The sequence below is a fragment of the Homo sapiens genome, chromosome 2, assembly GCF_000001405.40.
Source record: "Homo sapiens chromosome 2, GRCh38.p14 Primary Assembly".
Taxonomy (NCBI): domain Eukaryota; kingdom Metazoa; phylum Chordata; class Mammalia; order Primates; family Hominidae; genus Homo; species Homo sapiens.
Window position 1 is genome coordinate 8544806 of NC_000002.12, and position 13490 is coordinate 8558295.

The 13490-nt window shown below is 49.0% G+C and overlaps 5 annotated features.

The window, feature by feature from the left end:
* Positions 9 to 88: an enhancer, noted in NCBI's record as "active region_15268". NCBI's record gives its function as "activates an Ori minimal core promoter by ATAC-STARR-seq in GM12878 lymphoblastoid cells {active_cell/tissue: GM12878}" and the evidence as "EXISTENCE:reporter gene assay evidence [ECO:0000049][PMID:35858748]".
* Positions 154 to 448: an enhancer, noted in NCBI's record as "tiled region #11674; K562 Activating DNase unmatched - State 8:EnhW". NCBI's record gives its function as "activates a minimal TATA promoter and a strong SV40 promoter by Sharpr-MPRA in K562 cells {active_cell/tissue: K562}" and the evidence as "EXISTENCE:reporter gene assay evidence [ECO:0000049][PMID:27701403]".
* Positions 154 to 448: a silencer, noted in NCBI's record as "tiled region #11674; HepG2 Repressive DNase matched - State 20:ReprD". NCBI's record gives its function as "weakly represses a minimal TATA promoter and a strong SV40 promoter by Sharpr-MPRA in HepG2 cells {active_cell/tissue: HepG2}" and the evidence as "EXISTENCE:reporter gene assay evidence [ECO:0000049][PMID:27701403]".
* Positions 154 to 478: a biological region, named in NCBI's record as "Sharpr-MPRA regulatory region 11674".
* Positions 419 to 478: an enhancer, noted in NCBI's record as "active region_15269". NCBI's record gives its function as "activates an Ori minimal core promoter by ATAC-STARR-seq in GM12878 lymphoblastoid cells {active_cell/tissue: GM12878}" and the evidence as "EXISTENCE:reporter gene assay evidence [ECO:0000049][PMID:35858748]".

Below are 13490 nucleotides of genomic sequence, written 5' to 3' on the forward strand. Positions count from 1 at the left end.
CAGGACACCATCCCAAGCAGCCCAGCAAGGGGGACCCACCCTCTCTGCACCAAGGCAGACCCAAGGTGCTTCCAGGGGCAGCCAGAACAGGGTGGCTTCTGTGTGGCCTGCTGTGGGACAAGCTGCTGTGACAAGAAGCAGCATCTGCTATTGAACTTGTGACCCAGGCCTTGGTCCCTCACAGGGAGCAGGGCACAGCTGGGACAGAGGGTGAGGGTCCCCTTCCCATCTCTCGGAGGTGGCAGAGTGCACCTGCTCCACGGAGCGTGCGCAGCCCCCTCTGCTGGCGCCCGGTCCAGCTCTCGGGTGAGCTAGACGGGAGTTCAGCTGGGCGTGACTCACCCCTGTTCCTGGAACTGTCTGAAGGCGGGGAGGATGCTGTGGGTAGGCTCTAACTGTATCATCTGGGCTGGGGCCGGTAGCAGATGGTCCTTATAAAAAAAAAAAAAAAGTACTTCCATGTGGGCTTAAAATAGCGCAGCACTCACCATCAGCTGAATGGGGAAATGTACGAGCCAGTCTTTCACGTGGGAGTGGGCACTGCAGGCTGGAGGTTGGGACAAGGGGCCCAGACACCAGCCACAGCGGCCAAGCCCAGGAGGTGGAGAGGAGACGCCTCAGCACCCACGTCGTGCCTGGCCTAGACCAGGCAGGTGGCAGATACGGGCCCAAGCAGGCCCTGCCACGATGATGAAGATGACAATGAAGCCACAGAACCCTCCCGGTTGCCGCATGGGAGCCGGCTGGGAAACCGAGATGCCAGAACACCAGCCGTCCACCACCCTGTCAGCCTCTCAGTCAGTCCAGGAAAAGCCTTTCTTCATCCTGGAAGTCGGGAAATGTGGCTCCCTAACAGGGGGCGGAAACAACTTTTGGTTCTGAGTCAATCTCTCTCTCTCCCCGGGCCCTACAGGAACACAAGAGTGAGTCCTGGAGCCTCTGGAGTCCGCCCCTCACCGATGTGTGTTCTGGGGCAGGTCACTTCCTCTTTCTGTGCCTCAGTTTCCTTATCTGTAAAATGGACGGAAAGCCCCACCTTCTCTAGGGCAAAGCCGAGCACCCGGAGGTGCTCTGTGAAGGAAGCCCACAGCCCTGCCTGGGTTGTCCCTGAGGCCCGAGAGAGCCCTTGGCCCCTTCTTCCCTTTTTAATACGTCCCTTCATCTTCCTTTAAACCATGCTGCACTTTGACATGTAGAGGTGATCACTCTGAAAGTCGGGGTCTGGAGCGTCGCCTCTTGCTGCTGCTGCGTTGATGTGGAGGGAAGGGGGTGACAGGAGGGAAGCCGGGGCAGGGACAGCAGGTGGGGAGTCTCACTCCGTCCAGCCCAGCAGCCAGGGCTCCCAGGCATGGCAGGCCACCTTCCCGCCCTCCTGCCGCCCGCCCTGCCGGGGATCAGCAAATCGGAGGCCAGGTCACTGTGGCCTTTGAGGGGTGGAGACTCTCCCAACTGCAGGGCAGGGTGAGGGAGCTCTAAGGGAGCCACGGGTCCTCAGTGGCTCGCCCAAGGCAGAAGGTTTGTCAGAGGTGGAGGGTTTGCACTGAGCCCACCTTGGTGTTCTGTATGGACAAGCGTGTGGTGTGCTGGTAACTGTCTAACAACCAGCTCCACTGGGGCCTGGGGAGGGGATTAAAAATAGCTCTGATCTGTAGCGGCTGCCAATTTCGGCGGTATAATCACTCCCGCTGAAGCCGGTTTCATCCCCGCTTGTGGAGTTGGGAAGAGACCACAAATGGGCTGCCATGAGCTCCAACACCCAGCACAGGGCTGGTGGATACGCGGTAACATGACCACCCTTCCCATACAGGCTGGCGTCCATCAGGGGCACAGACACGTGATAATGACCCAGGCTCAACTGAAAGGCAGCAGAGCAAAAGAGTCAAAGAGTTAAGACCCGGACCCTTGAGTTAGGCTCAGGTTAACTGTGTCTGATTCATCCCGGCTCTAGTTAGCAGCTGTGTGGCTTTGGGCAAGTTGCATAACCACTTTGGGCCTCGTATGTAAAGCGAAGATGATAATAGCATCTGTCCTTTCACAAGGATGTCTATTGTGCAGTAATGACCTGCAGTCACAAGCTCTTCTTTTTAAGGGATGGAATGGAGGGACAACACATCTGTCAGGAGAATGCTGAAACCTCTCCCTCCCGAAATTAAATGACGAAGTCTTCCCTCCACCCCGCAGCCTCCCCAGCTACTCCTTCACCTCTCTTCCCTCACAGGCGTCTTCTAAGGGTTTCCAGGCCTCCCCCACTTCCTCTCCTCCACCCACTCACCCCACGCTGCCAAGCAGCCTCTGCCCCACTTCTCCAAGGCGACTCTTGCCAATGTCACCAACAACCCCATTTTCTAAATCCAAGAGACATTTCTGTCATCCTCGTACTCTACGTCCCACCAGCCTTAAGCCCTGCTGCCCAAGCAACTTTCGAAACAACCGTGTCCCCAGTGTCTGTGATGGGTCCATTCCTTCTGCCTTCCCTCTGTCCGTTCTCTGTCTCTTTGACTGGGCCAGAGTCCTCTACCTGGCTGTTAAAACTAAGGTGCCTCAAGTCATAGGGGGAGCTGTGTCTTCTCCTGCTGAACCCCCTCTCTAGGCTGGCCCCCGACTCCAGCGGCCTCTACTGCTATCTGCACCAGCCTCTCCCAGTGGTACCTCCAGCCCTGACCTCATCTCTGACCCCTGGACAGCACGGCCAGAGGTCTATTCCACACCGCCCCCTCACATACATGATGGCTCAGAGGTCCCCAGGTTCACCGTGCCCGAAACTGTGCTCACCACCCATTCCCAGGCCCGTGGTGATAACACCACTGTCCGCCACTCATCTTCCCACCTTTCTCTCTGTTGCCCCCAGGTCTGCCCCACCCCAAGTCGCACCTCCCCGTCAAGGCCTGCACAGCCTTCCCTTTTTGTCTTCTGTCTTCATCCTGGTGCCCTCCTCCAACACCCATCCAAGCAAGAGCCATCTCTCTGGGTGCCAGGGCCGTGGCCCTTGGGCTGGGCCCTCCGCCCCCACACTTGCCCTCCCCTCTGTCTTCCACATCCTTCCAGGGCGATCTTCCCAAAAATCTGAGATATGGTCAGGTCACCCGTGTGCCGAAAACTCCTGGGGTGCACACCAGGACCCCGGCGCAGCTTCTCAGGGCCTGTGTGCCTGGCCGTGGCCTCTCTCTCCGGATTCCTCTCCCACCATCCCCCTGGCTGTCTGCAGTCCTCATATGGGCCACATCCTCCCTCCCAGGGTTTAGGGGATGTCATTGTCTCTGCCTGGAACAATCTTCATCTTATCCTCACCTCCACCCCACCCCTTCAACCCAGTGGTTCCGAGTTCAGCTACTCATGGCTTCCCCGAGGAAGCCCTCCTCCTTCCTCCATGTCCCCTCCCCGCCAGACGGTGCTGTGCTGTTCCCCCTCTGAACACCCTGGGCCCTGTCTTCACAGCAATTCACAGGGCTGGTAACTGTTCACTTATTTGTGTGGCTAATTAACTAATGCTTGCCTCTCCCAGGAGACTCTTCATCCCCGAAGGTGTAACTGACTGGCATTTCTAGTGGTGGAATTCTTCACTGTGTGGTGCTATCTGTGAATGGCAGGAGGGTCCCCAGCCCCCACCCACTCGATGCCAGTGGCTCTCTCAGGCATTGTGACAAGCCTCAAAGGCACTCAGGCCTTCCCACAGCCCCAGGAGGCTGGACTGCCCCAGGGAGCCCTGCCCCACTAGGTGCAAACAGCCGCAGGGACAGGAGCTGTGTCTGGGTTTGCTCAACCCCAGTGCTTTAAGGTCCCGGCACAGAGTGGACACTCAGAAAATGCGTGTTAAATGTGTGAATGGGCAGCTCCTACCTGCAAGCTTCCACACAGCTGCTCTGCCTGCCTTTGTGGGTGCTACAAGGATTTCGCCTCTGGGGGTGCAGGAAGCCATCATGCCTGTAAGCAGTGGTCCCCAGCCCCCTGGAGTGAGATCATGGCATGGCATCTGCCCAGAGCTCAATCAGGCAGGACCGAAAGCCAGCACCTCCCTCATCTCACCTGAATTTCAGCAGTTCAGGCACAGGTGATCAAATAGACTCTCCCTGGGCCACATGGACAGGGGCAGGTGCTGCTGGTTTCTCTCTCTGATGGTCAGGATCTCAGCTCTCCCTACCTGCTGCCAACCTTCTACATAGGCCCACCCAGGGAGCTGGCTGCCATAGAAAATACAAACTCGGAAGCATGCGCCAGGCCATCAGCACAGAGCAGGCACAGCTGCAGGGAGGGTGTGTGTGGCCCGAGGTGCCAGCACCGAGCTCAGGTTCCTGCTTCAAAACCCTTTCCTGTGACTTTCAGCTTTCCTCTTCCTTTCACAGTGATCAGCCTCTTTTCCCATCATCCAAATTCCAACCACTTCAGGGGACCTTCACCAAACTGGCAAGAATGAACATTTGGCTCCATTCAACAAACATTCATGCACCAAACATTTACCAAGCACTCACTTTGCATTAAGGGAGCCACCCTAGAACCTGTCTTCACGTCCCCTTCATGGCTTTGTGCATCTTCTCGAGGCCTCTGAGTATGTCATTTCTGTTCACTCTATCCAGATTAACAAGACGGCTCTGCACTTCTTCTGTGCCTGGACAGTCTAGGCCCTCACAAGCAGCAAGCAGTATCTCCACCTGGCCCTGGCCTCCGTGGGCTCACAGCTAATGATGTCTCTCTCATCATCTGCCCACTTTAACTCCACCCTCTCATTCTGCGTCAAACACTCTGCCGAGCCTTCCTGGAGACCCTTCAGAGCTGGTGATATGGTTTGGATGTGTGTCCCTTCCAAATCTCATGTTGAAATGTGATCCCCAGTGCTGGAGGTGGGGCCTGGAGGGGGGTGTTTGTGTCATGGGGGCCCTCATGAATGGCTTGGTACCCTTCCGGTGGTAATGAGTTACCGCAAGATCTGCTGGTTAAAGTCTAGCTAGGGCCTTCCCCGCTCTCTTGTTCCCTGTCTCACCATGTGACGCACCTGCTCCCCTTCACCTTCTGCCATGAGTGGCAGCTTCCTGATGTTCTTGCCTAAAGCAGATATGCCAGCTCCCATGCTTGTACAGCCAGCAGAACGGTAAGCCAAATACACCTCTTTTCTTTGTAAATTACCCAGCATCAGGTCTTCCCTTACAGCAATGCAAAATGGACTAACACAGTTGGGAAGAGAAGAGGTGACACATCTGAGACCCTCAGAGAACAAATTCAAGAGTTTTTAATGGAGAACCAGAGTGTACAGTGCCAAGGAGAGGCCAGCAGGTGCTGGGGCAGTAAGAAGAAGCTATAGGTGGGATGGGCCCTTGGCTGGCCTTCAAGGGTAGACAATAGTAATCGTGGGGATGGGAGCTGATACTGACTGAGTGCTAACACGATGCCAAGCGATGTGCAGGGGCTACCTTATTTAATCCTCACAGTCACCTCATGACACAGGCGTTATTCTTATTCCCATTTTACAGGTGAAGGGACTGAGGCACATAGAACCAACTAATTTACTTAAGGTTGTGCAGCTTGTAAATGGCAGAGCCAGGATTTGCACACAGGCATCTGGCTTCGGGGCCAGTGCTCTTCAACACCACCAGGAGAGTTTGGATGTGTCGGCTATCTATAGCTGTGCAATGAATTTCCCCAAGTTCAGCAGCCTAACGCAACACAAGTAGATTATGTCATAGTCCCTGTGGGCCGGGGACCTGGGAGTGGCCAGCTGGTCCCCCTGGCTCCGGGCATCTCACAAGCTGCAATCAAGCTGACAACCTGTGGTCATCTCGGGGCCTGCTTGGGGTAGGATTTGGTTCCAAGCTCACTCACATAGCTGTTGGCTGGAGACCTCGATTCCTTACATGGGGGCCTGTCCCGAGGCCAGTGACTTCCTTCAGGGTGAGTGACCAAGCAAAGGCATGAGTGACAGTGAGCAAGACATGTGGCCTCATCACGGAAGCGGCATATTGTCACCTTTGCTGTAGTCTGTGGTCTATCCACGAGAAGCAAGTCCTGAGATCCAGCCCACGCTCCAGGGATGGGCACGATGAGAGGCTGTGACAACAGCAGTGGGGGTCACCAGGCAGTCCTAGAGGCTGCCGGCCACACGGGCCCATGGAGGAGCCCAGGTCACAGACACCACTGTCCTTAGTTTGATTCTTCACCCAGGAGCCTGACTGTGTTCCTTAGGTAATAATAATAGCCCCAAGGGGAGCTAAAACTTGATTCCCAGTCTGAGAGATTTCTTCCTCCTGTTCCTCCCAGAATCCAAGTGCCAAATCAGACGAGCACGTCTTAAAGATCATCTGCGCGCTCGGCTATGTAAAGAAACACAAGCGTATTTGTATTTCGCTGGTGTCAGGCCGAAAACTTGGCACCATCCCTCACTCCTCCGCTCCCTTGCCATACGATTCCAGTCAGCCCCCAATTCCTCTAAAGCAGTGATTTTTTTCATCTCTCCTTTTCTCTTTGACTGCCCTCAATGAAGAGAAACCCTAATGGTCCTGGCGTTTCCACTGCTCCTTCAGTCACTCCCAGGTGTCATGATAAGGGCCCTGTCATACAGTCCTAATTGCTGTTCAAAGACCATCCGTGGCTCCCACAGCCAACAGGCAAGGACCATGCTTGAGTCTGGCCTGCAGGGCCTTCAGCTTCACAGCCCGGCCCACTCCCCACACCACCCCCTGGCTCCAGTCCCCCGGTCCACATGCCTGGCACCTTCCCACTTCTAAGCCTTCATCTACCCCTTTCCTAACCCTCAAATGCTTTTCCCATTCTTCTTACCCAAATCCTGGTGGCCCTTCAAGGTCAAGTTCATGCCCTCCCTTAATTATGAATTTTTCCAGATGACTCCAACTCTTCAAGGCTGGACTTGGCAAGAGGCAGTGTGTGTTCAGCGGGATCAGTGAAATCAAAACACTCATGACCACAAGCCAACTGCTCAGAAAATCATCTGGGTTTGCCTCCCCATGCCTGCACCCTGCTCTTGTCTTCACTACCTGGTGACTCCGTATGGGTCACCTGGACTTAGCCTTCCAGCTCTCCTGGGGAGCAGTTCTCAATTCCCTTCCCTCTGAACACCTGCTTCTATGCAGCCCCATGTGACTACTTTCTCCCTCCCCCAAATCTCCTTCTCCCCGGATCCGTTCTCACTACCCCACCACACCACCGTCAGGGCACAGCCCTCTCTAGACGCCCACTGCAGTCACTGTCTGGAAGATGACTCATCACATCCCCTCAGACCCCTGTGTAGTTTTCGATCTTTCTATCTAGTTCCCAACGAGACTTTGAGCACTTTCTTGACAAGTCCAATTCATCTCTGAATCCAGAACAGGGTGGGGACAGAGGGCATATACACATAATCCCAGGAAAGACAAAGGTGAAAATTGTCCATGGATATACCTTTGCGGGAAAAAAAAAAGAATACACTGAAGTGGCTTTACTCTATCTTCTTAACATTCAGAAATACAAAGCTGTCTTTCCACCCACAATCCCGGACTATAAACTCAGCAGCACACGCACAGAGGGTGTAGAGAACAATGGGGGCGAGCACAGGGAGGGTGCAGCCGAGTCCCCCTTTTCCACACTCGGGGGTGAGACAGCGGGGCCTCAGATGCAGATGTGAGAAGCGGATGTGAAGCAGATCTGGGAGGGCCTCAGCAGCCTCACACAAGACCTCCTGACATCAGCATACACCCCGTCTTCCCGACAAGTTTCCCTTTTCCTGGTCCCCATTAGAGAACACCCACATTACTCATTGCACAGTTACCGTTGAACTTTCTATTCTGACGTTCTCTTTTCACACTCGTTCAGAAATACACGCTGGTACCATTTCATTTGCTTTTAAATAGCACGCCGAAGAGGAGACATGCCCAGTGGTCTCCGAGTCATGCCCCACAGGATCCAGGTCATTTGCCTAAAAGGCAGAAGTCAGACCTGGTGAAAGCTCACAGGTAACAGCCGGGGGGCCGCCCTTGCACCTGGCATAGGCCTCACCAACCAGGTGCCTGTGCAGAGGTCTCTTAACTGTTTAAACTAAGGTAGGTTTTTCTGAAAAGCAGCCTCTCTCAGATTTTTTGGCCTCAGGACCACTTTGCCCTCTTAAAAATTATTCAGCATCCTCAAAAGCTTTTGTTCATGTGAGTTTAGATTTGATGGCATTTGCTGTTTTACAAATTAAAACTGAGAAAATTTTAAAATATGTATCAACTTGTATCAAAAATAACAATAATTCATGACATGTAAACATAAATTTCATATTTTAAGAAAAATAACTACATTTTCTTTCTTTCTTTTTTTTTTTTTTTTTTTTTTTTTGAGACAGAGTCTTGCTCTGTCACCCAGGCTGGAGTGGCAGTGGCCCAATGTCAGCTCACTGCAACCTCTGCCTCACGGTTTCAAGCGATTCTCCTGCCTCAGCCTCTCCAGTAGCTGGGGTTACAGGCGCCCACAACCATGCCCAGCTAATTTTTGTGTTTTTAGTAAAGACAGGGTTTCATCATGTTGGCCAGGCTGGTCTCGAACTACTGACCTCAAGTAATCCATCTGCCTCGGCCTCCCAAAGTGCTGGGATTACAAGCGTGAGCCACCGTGCCCCAGCCACTATACTTTTCAAAACAAAAATATCAGTGAGAAGAATGGCAATAATTTATGCCTGTTCAAAGCTCCTGGGTGTCTGACTTAGAAAACAGCCAGGTTGTCAGATCTGCTTCTGCCCTCAGCCTGGGCCATTAGATCACTTTAGCTGAGGCATGTGAAGAAAATTCAGCCCGAAACAAATATGTAGCTAGAAAAGAGGGACATGTCTGTAATAGACTTTTCAGACAATTGTGGCTATTCCTCTTCCATACTATACCAAAATTCAAATCATGATAGTTTCTCATAGGTTAGCTGCACTGTTGAATGAGAACCCATCTCACCTATTTTTTTTATATGACTACATTAAAATCTATTAGCTATCCTGCACTTTGAATAGATCATTTGTTTACCCACTCATGATTTTGCAATAAATGTATTGGTCATTTGGCAAATATTGATTCACTGACGTGTGATCTATCAAACGTCAACACATTTCATTACACAGCCAGTGCATTAATATGATCATGAATTCCATCAGAAAAGTCCGGAGGTGTTAGGAAGCTATCAAGCTCACAGCAATGGATACAAGTTTTCTAAAATTTTAATTTTCACACGAAAGGTCTAATTGTATGGCAACAGATACTATCAGTTATTTTTCCTGAAGCCACAGGCTTACTTCATTTATTTTCAAGAAAATGTCTGCCAAATATCCAAGTCTGGTTAACCTAGTTTAGGTTACAGAAGTCCCTCTCAGCTCTAAAAGGCCAGCCTCTTACAGAAAGTTCTGAGGGTCTTAAAGTTCAGGGCAAAGCAAAAAAGAGACCTCCAGGGAGATATTCCCTGCAAGCAGCTCCCAACAGCCCAGGGAATGACGATTAATTTGAACCGCATTTTCCCAGGGCATTGGTAAGAGGTCAGCCTACTCCACAGCTGATCTCTAAATCCCAAACCCAGCATCCAGTGTAGAAATGATGAAAATGGCCAATACATTCTTCTGGCAGTTGGTGCAGTGCTCAGTGCATGAAGGTTGAAGTAACCGTGCAGTGTGGGGCACCAGCCAAGACGCCGTTTCTACCTGGGGGCTGTCTCACCGTGCAGGAGGCGCGTTTGCTCCACAGTTTACTGTCAGCATCATACATACAGGTAACCAAAACCCTTGTCAACGGCCACAGGCAACCATCAATAGTGAGCACAATGTAACCAACGAAGGCTGGGGTGTGAAGAATCCAGCCAGCCTGATAGGCAGGGCACCATGCTGCAGTCAGGAGACCTGGGTTCCGGGGCCAGCCCTGCCTCCAACATGCTAGGGACCATGGCCAAACCACTTAATGTCTTTGCATGGGCTTCTTTGCCCTATAAAATGGTCAGGGGTGAGGTAGATGAACTCAACAGGTGCTGAAATTCTCCTCTAAGAAGTAGAGATATAATTACAAGATGTCAGCGCATAATATCATGTGTACCCACCCTAAAAACTCCATGAACCCCCAATGGACACACAAAAAAAATCATTGCTTACAGGTAATATTACTTTCTAACCAAAGTTTTATTTTAGAAATTTTAAAATATTGTCATAACCGAGAAGAAAAGTCTGTAGGATGGCAGGTGATGTTGGAGCGGGGTTAAACAAATAGACCACTGGGACATGTTAGAGTCTAGAAACAGATCCATTATAAATGGAAATTTAATATGTGATAAGGGAGGCTGAAGCAGCTTTAAAACATATCCACAAATTATTTGACATTTCTCCCATTGAGAAGTGAGGTTTATGTCCCCTCTGTTTGAATCTGGGTGGACATGTGACCGTCCACCAATGGAAGTGACATGTCTGACTTCCATGGTGAGGTCACAAAAGGCCATGCAGGTTCTTCCCTGTTCTGTTGCAACACTAGCTCTTGGTGTCCTAAGCTTTCATGAACAATTCAGACCACCCTGAGGCCTCCATACTGTGAGGAAGCCCAAGCCATATAGATGCCAAGTTAGGCACTCCAAGGACTGTTCCCAGCTGAGCCCAACTTTTGAGTCATCCCAGCCCAGGTACCCAAACACGTCAGTGAAAAACCCTTAGATGATCCCAGTCCCCCACTGTTCACACCACCCCAGCCACTCAAGTCTTCCTAGCTGAGGCCCCAGACATGGTAGAGCAGAGCCAGATAATCCCCATTCTGCCTAAATTCCCAGACTTCAGAGTTCACGAGCAGAATCAAGTTGTGATTGTTCTGTGCCACTAAGTCTAGCGGTATATGTTCTGCAGCAATAGATAACCAGAACAGTAAATGTTTCTAATCACTGAAAAAATACCAACCTTTCAAAAAGTGATAGAAAGACTTAGAAATTATTTTTAAAATAATTTAAATTATAATAAATATTATACAATATATAAACAGTATAAAGTATAAAATATTTTAAATAATTTTAAAATATTATTGTAAATATTTTAAATTATAATTTTAAAATATTTAAAAATAAATTTTAAATGGATTCATGAAATTTTATTATAAAATTATTGAAATAAATATATAAGAAGCATTTTTTAAATCTAGGGATGGAAAAGTGCTTCATAAGTGTTACTCTCCCTTCACCAGCAAAAAAAAAAAAAAACCCAGATGAAATAAGAAAAAGATTGACAAGTTTGGTCACATAAATATAAAAATGTTATGACCAAAGGCACCATAAACAAAGTTTAAAGCTAACTTGCAGAAAGGCAGAAAGGATACACAGCATGGATAACATCTACAGTATGGAAGAGCACCGACACATTCTAAAGGACCAACAATTCAAAAGAAAATAAAGCAATGAATATCAGCAGATAATTCACAGAGAAGATATATAAATAAAACAGTAATCATATAAAAAAAGATGTCAAACTTTATTAGCAATGAAGCACATCCATATCAAAAAAAATTCAAAAAACCCAAAAATATATTTTACCCATTATATTGCTGAAAAGTTATACCGATAGGAACATATAAAAGATGTACTATTATATGATTGATAGGAGTGTAAATTATGGTAGTCTTTTCAAAGGACAACATTAAATCTATCAAAATTTTAATCTTCACACTTTTTTACCTAGTGAGAAATTTCCAGTTGTCTATGTCATGGAAATATCCCCATATGCCCATATGTGCAGAAAAATGTAGGTAAAACGATGGTAACTGCCGCCATGTAAAAGCAACCGACTGAAATAAACCTGAATACTTATCAGTAAGTGTTTGTCCAAATAAACTTCGAGCAGACATATTATAGATTATTGTGCATCATTTTAAAATAATGAGGCAAATGTACACATACATATTTAGAGGTTAAGAAAAATGCCTGGGAGAGACACCCTGAATTGTTCATAGGGATTATTTATGGGAGAAAGCAGGTCGGGCGATCATGATTAGAAGAGCATTTCCCCTTTCGCTCTATGCTCTTCTGCATTGTTTCTTCATTTATATGTATGAGAGCATGTGCATGAATTATCTGTGTAAGTGTTATCAATTAGAGACTTTTAAGTTTAGGCATAAGAACCTTTTAAGTCTTCTTTGTGAGAGTCCATGATCCATAATCCTGGGTCCTCCGGAGCCCAAACCCACCCCACCTTGCCAGCAGCCAAGTTTCTCTGTACTTCAGGAAGCTAAGCTTCGGGCCCCTCACTGACCTAGGCCCTTTCTAAATAGATATTCATTTTATACCTAATTTTGTATTTAAAATTTCATATTTTCATGTTAAAAAAAATGAGCCTAAAAGTACATCAGTTCCAGGACCTGCGAATTTGCACCCTAAAATCACTCATGCTGGTGTCACAGCCCCTTTCTAGAGCAGAACAGCAAAATCTCCAGCTAAGGCCTTTTGTAGTGCCTTCCTACAGACTGAGCAGCATATGAGATGCTAGGGGAAAAAAAAGGGGGGTGGGCGGGGAAACCAAAAACCAATCCCCAGAAAAGGAAAAGCTACCAATAAGTAGACATGAATTCAATGAAACCCCAAAGAGTCCTTCACGGGGTGCTGAGAAGCTGGAACAATTGTACAGGAAACACCATTTACCTAGGACCAGACTGTCTACAGATAAATGTGAAATATGAAGAAAGTAAAGGCAGCCCCTCTGAAATTAGCATAAATAAGTAGAAACTCTTTTGTTTAGAATGGGAAAAGGACACCCATGGAAACCCATAGGAATCTAGAAGAAAATCAGATCTGTCTGAGGATGAATTGTAATTCTCCAGTCTCAGTGGCAGGCTCACCTCACTATGGAGATAGGAGATAAGTGCACCAGTGCCTGAAGTTAGTAAGCATTCAAACCAAATCACCTGCTCTCTGGCTCTGATTCCACACTCACTAGGCAGCCGAAGAGGTCTGCCAGGTACACTTCCCCAAACAGAATAGGGAAACCAGAGGATTCAGCTCTCCAAACCCTCTGACAGATGGATTTCTCCTTATAAAGAAGAGTGACAACAGCAAGATACCAGAATAAGAGGTCCTGGCCCTTGTCTCCTCACAGACACATGGATTTAACAAGCATCCACGGGTAAAAATATTTTTAGGAGAGTTCCAGAATCCAGTTGAAAGGTCCCAGCACCCTGGTGAAGCACAAAATACAAGAACAGTCCCAATGGAAAGGGTAAGAAGAGTAGTTTCACTTCACCCACAACACCCCTTCCCCAAGCTGGCACAGCTAAGCACTGAAAGATGCTCTTGGCCTACAATTTTTCCCATGAGGGAAAGAGAGAGCAAAGTGAGCATCCAGCTTCCCCAGCCTTTCAGGACGCATCCCAGGAGGCCCATTTCTCCTCTCTAGCACCTCGCCCAGAACATTGAGGAAATTGGCATGGCTCGATTGCCTGGGGTCAACTAAGAATAAAGAAAAGGGGCTGGTGCTCACAGCAACTGGCATGCATATGCCAACAACCAGCCCAAAGACCCCACAAGCTGGCCTGCCAGCTGTCCCA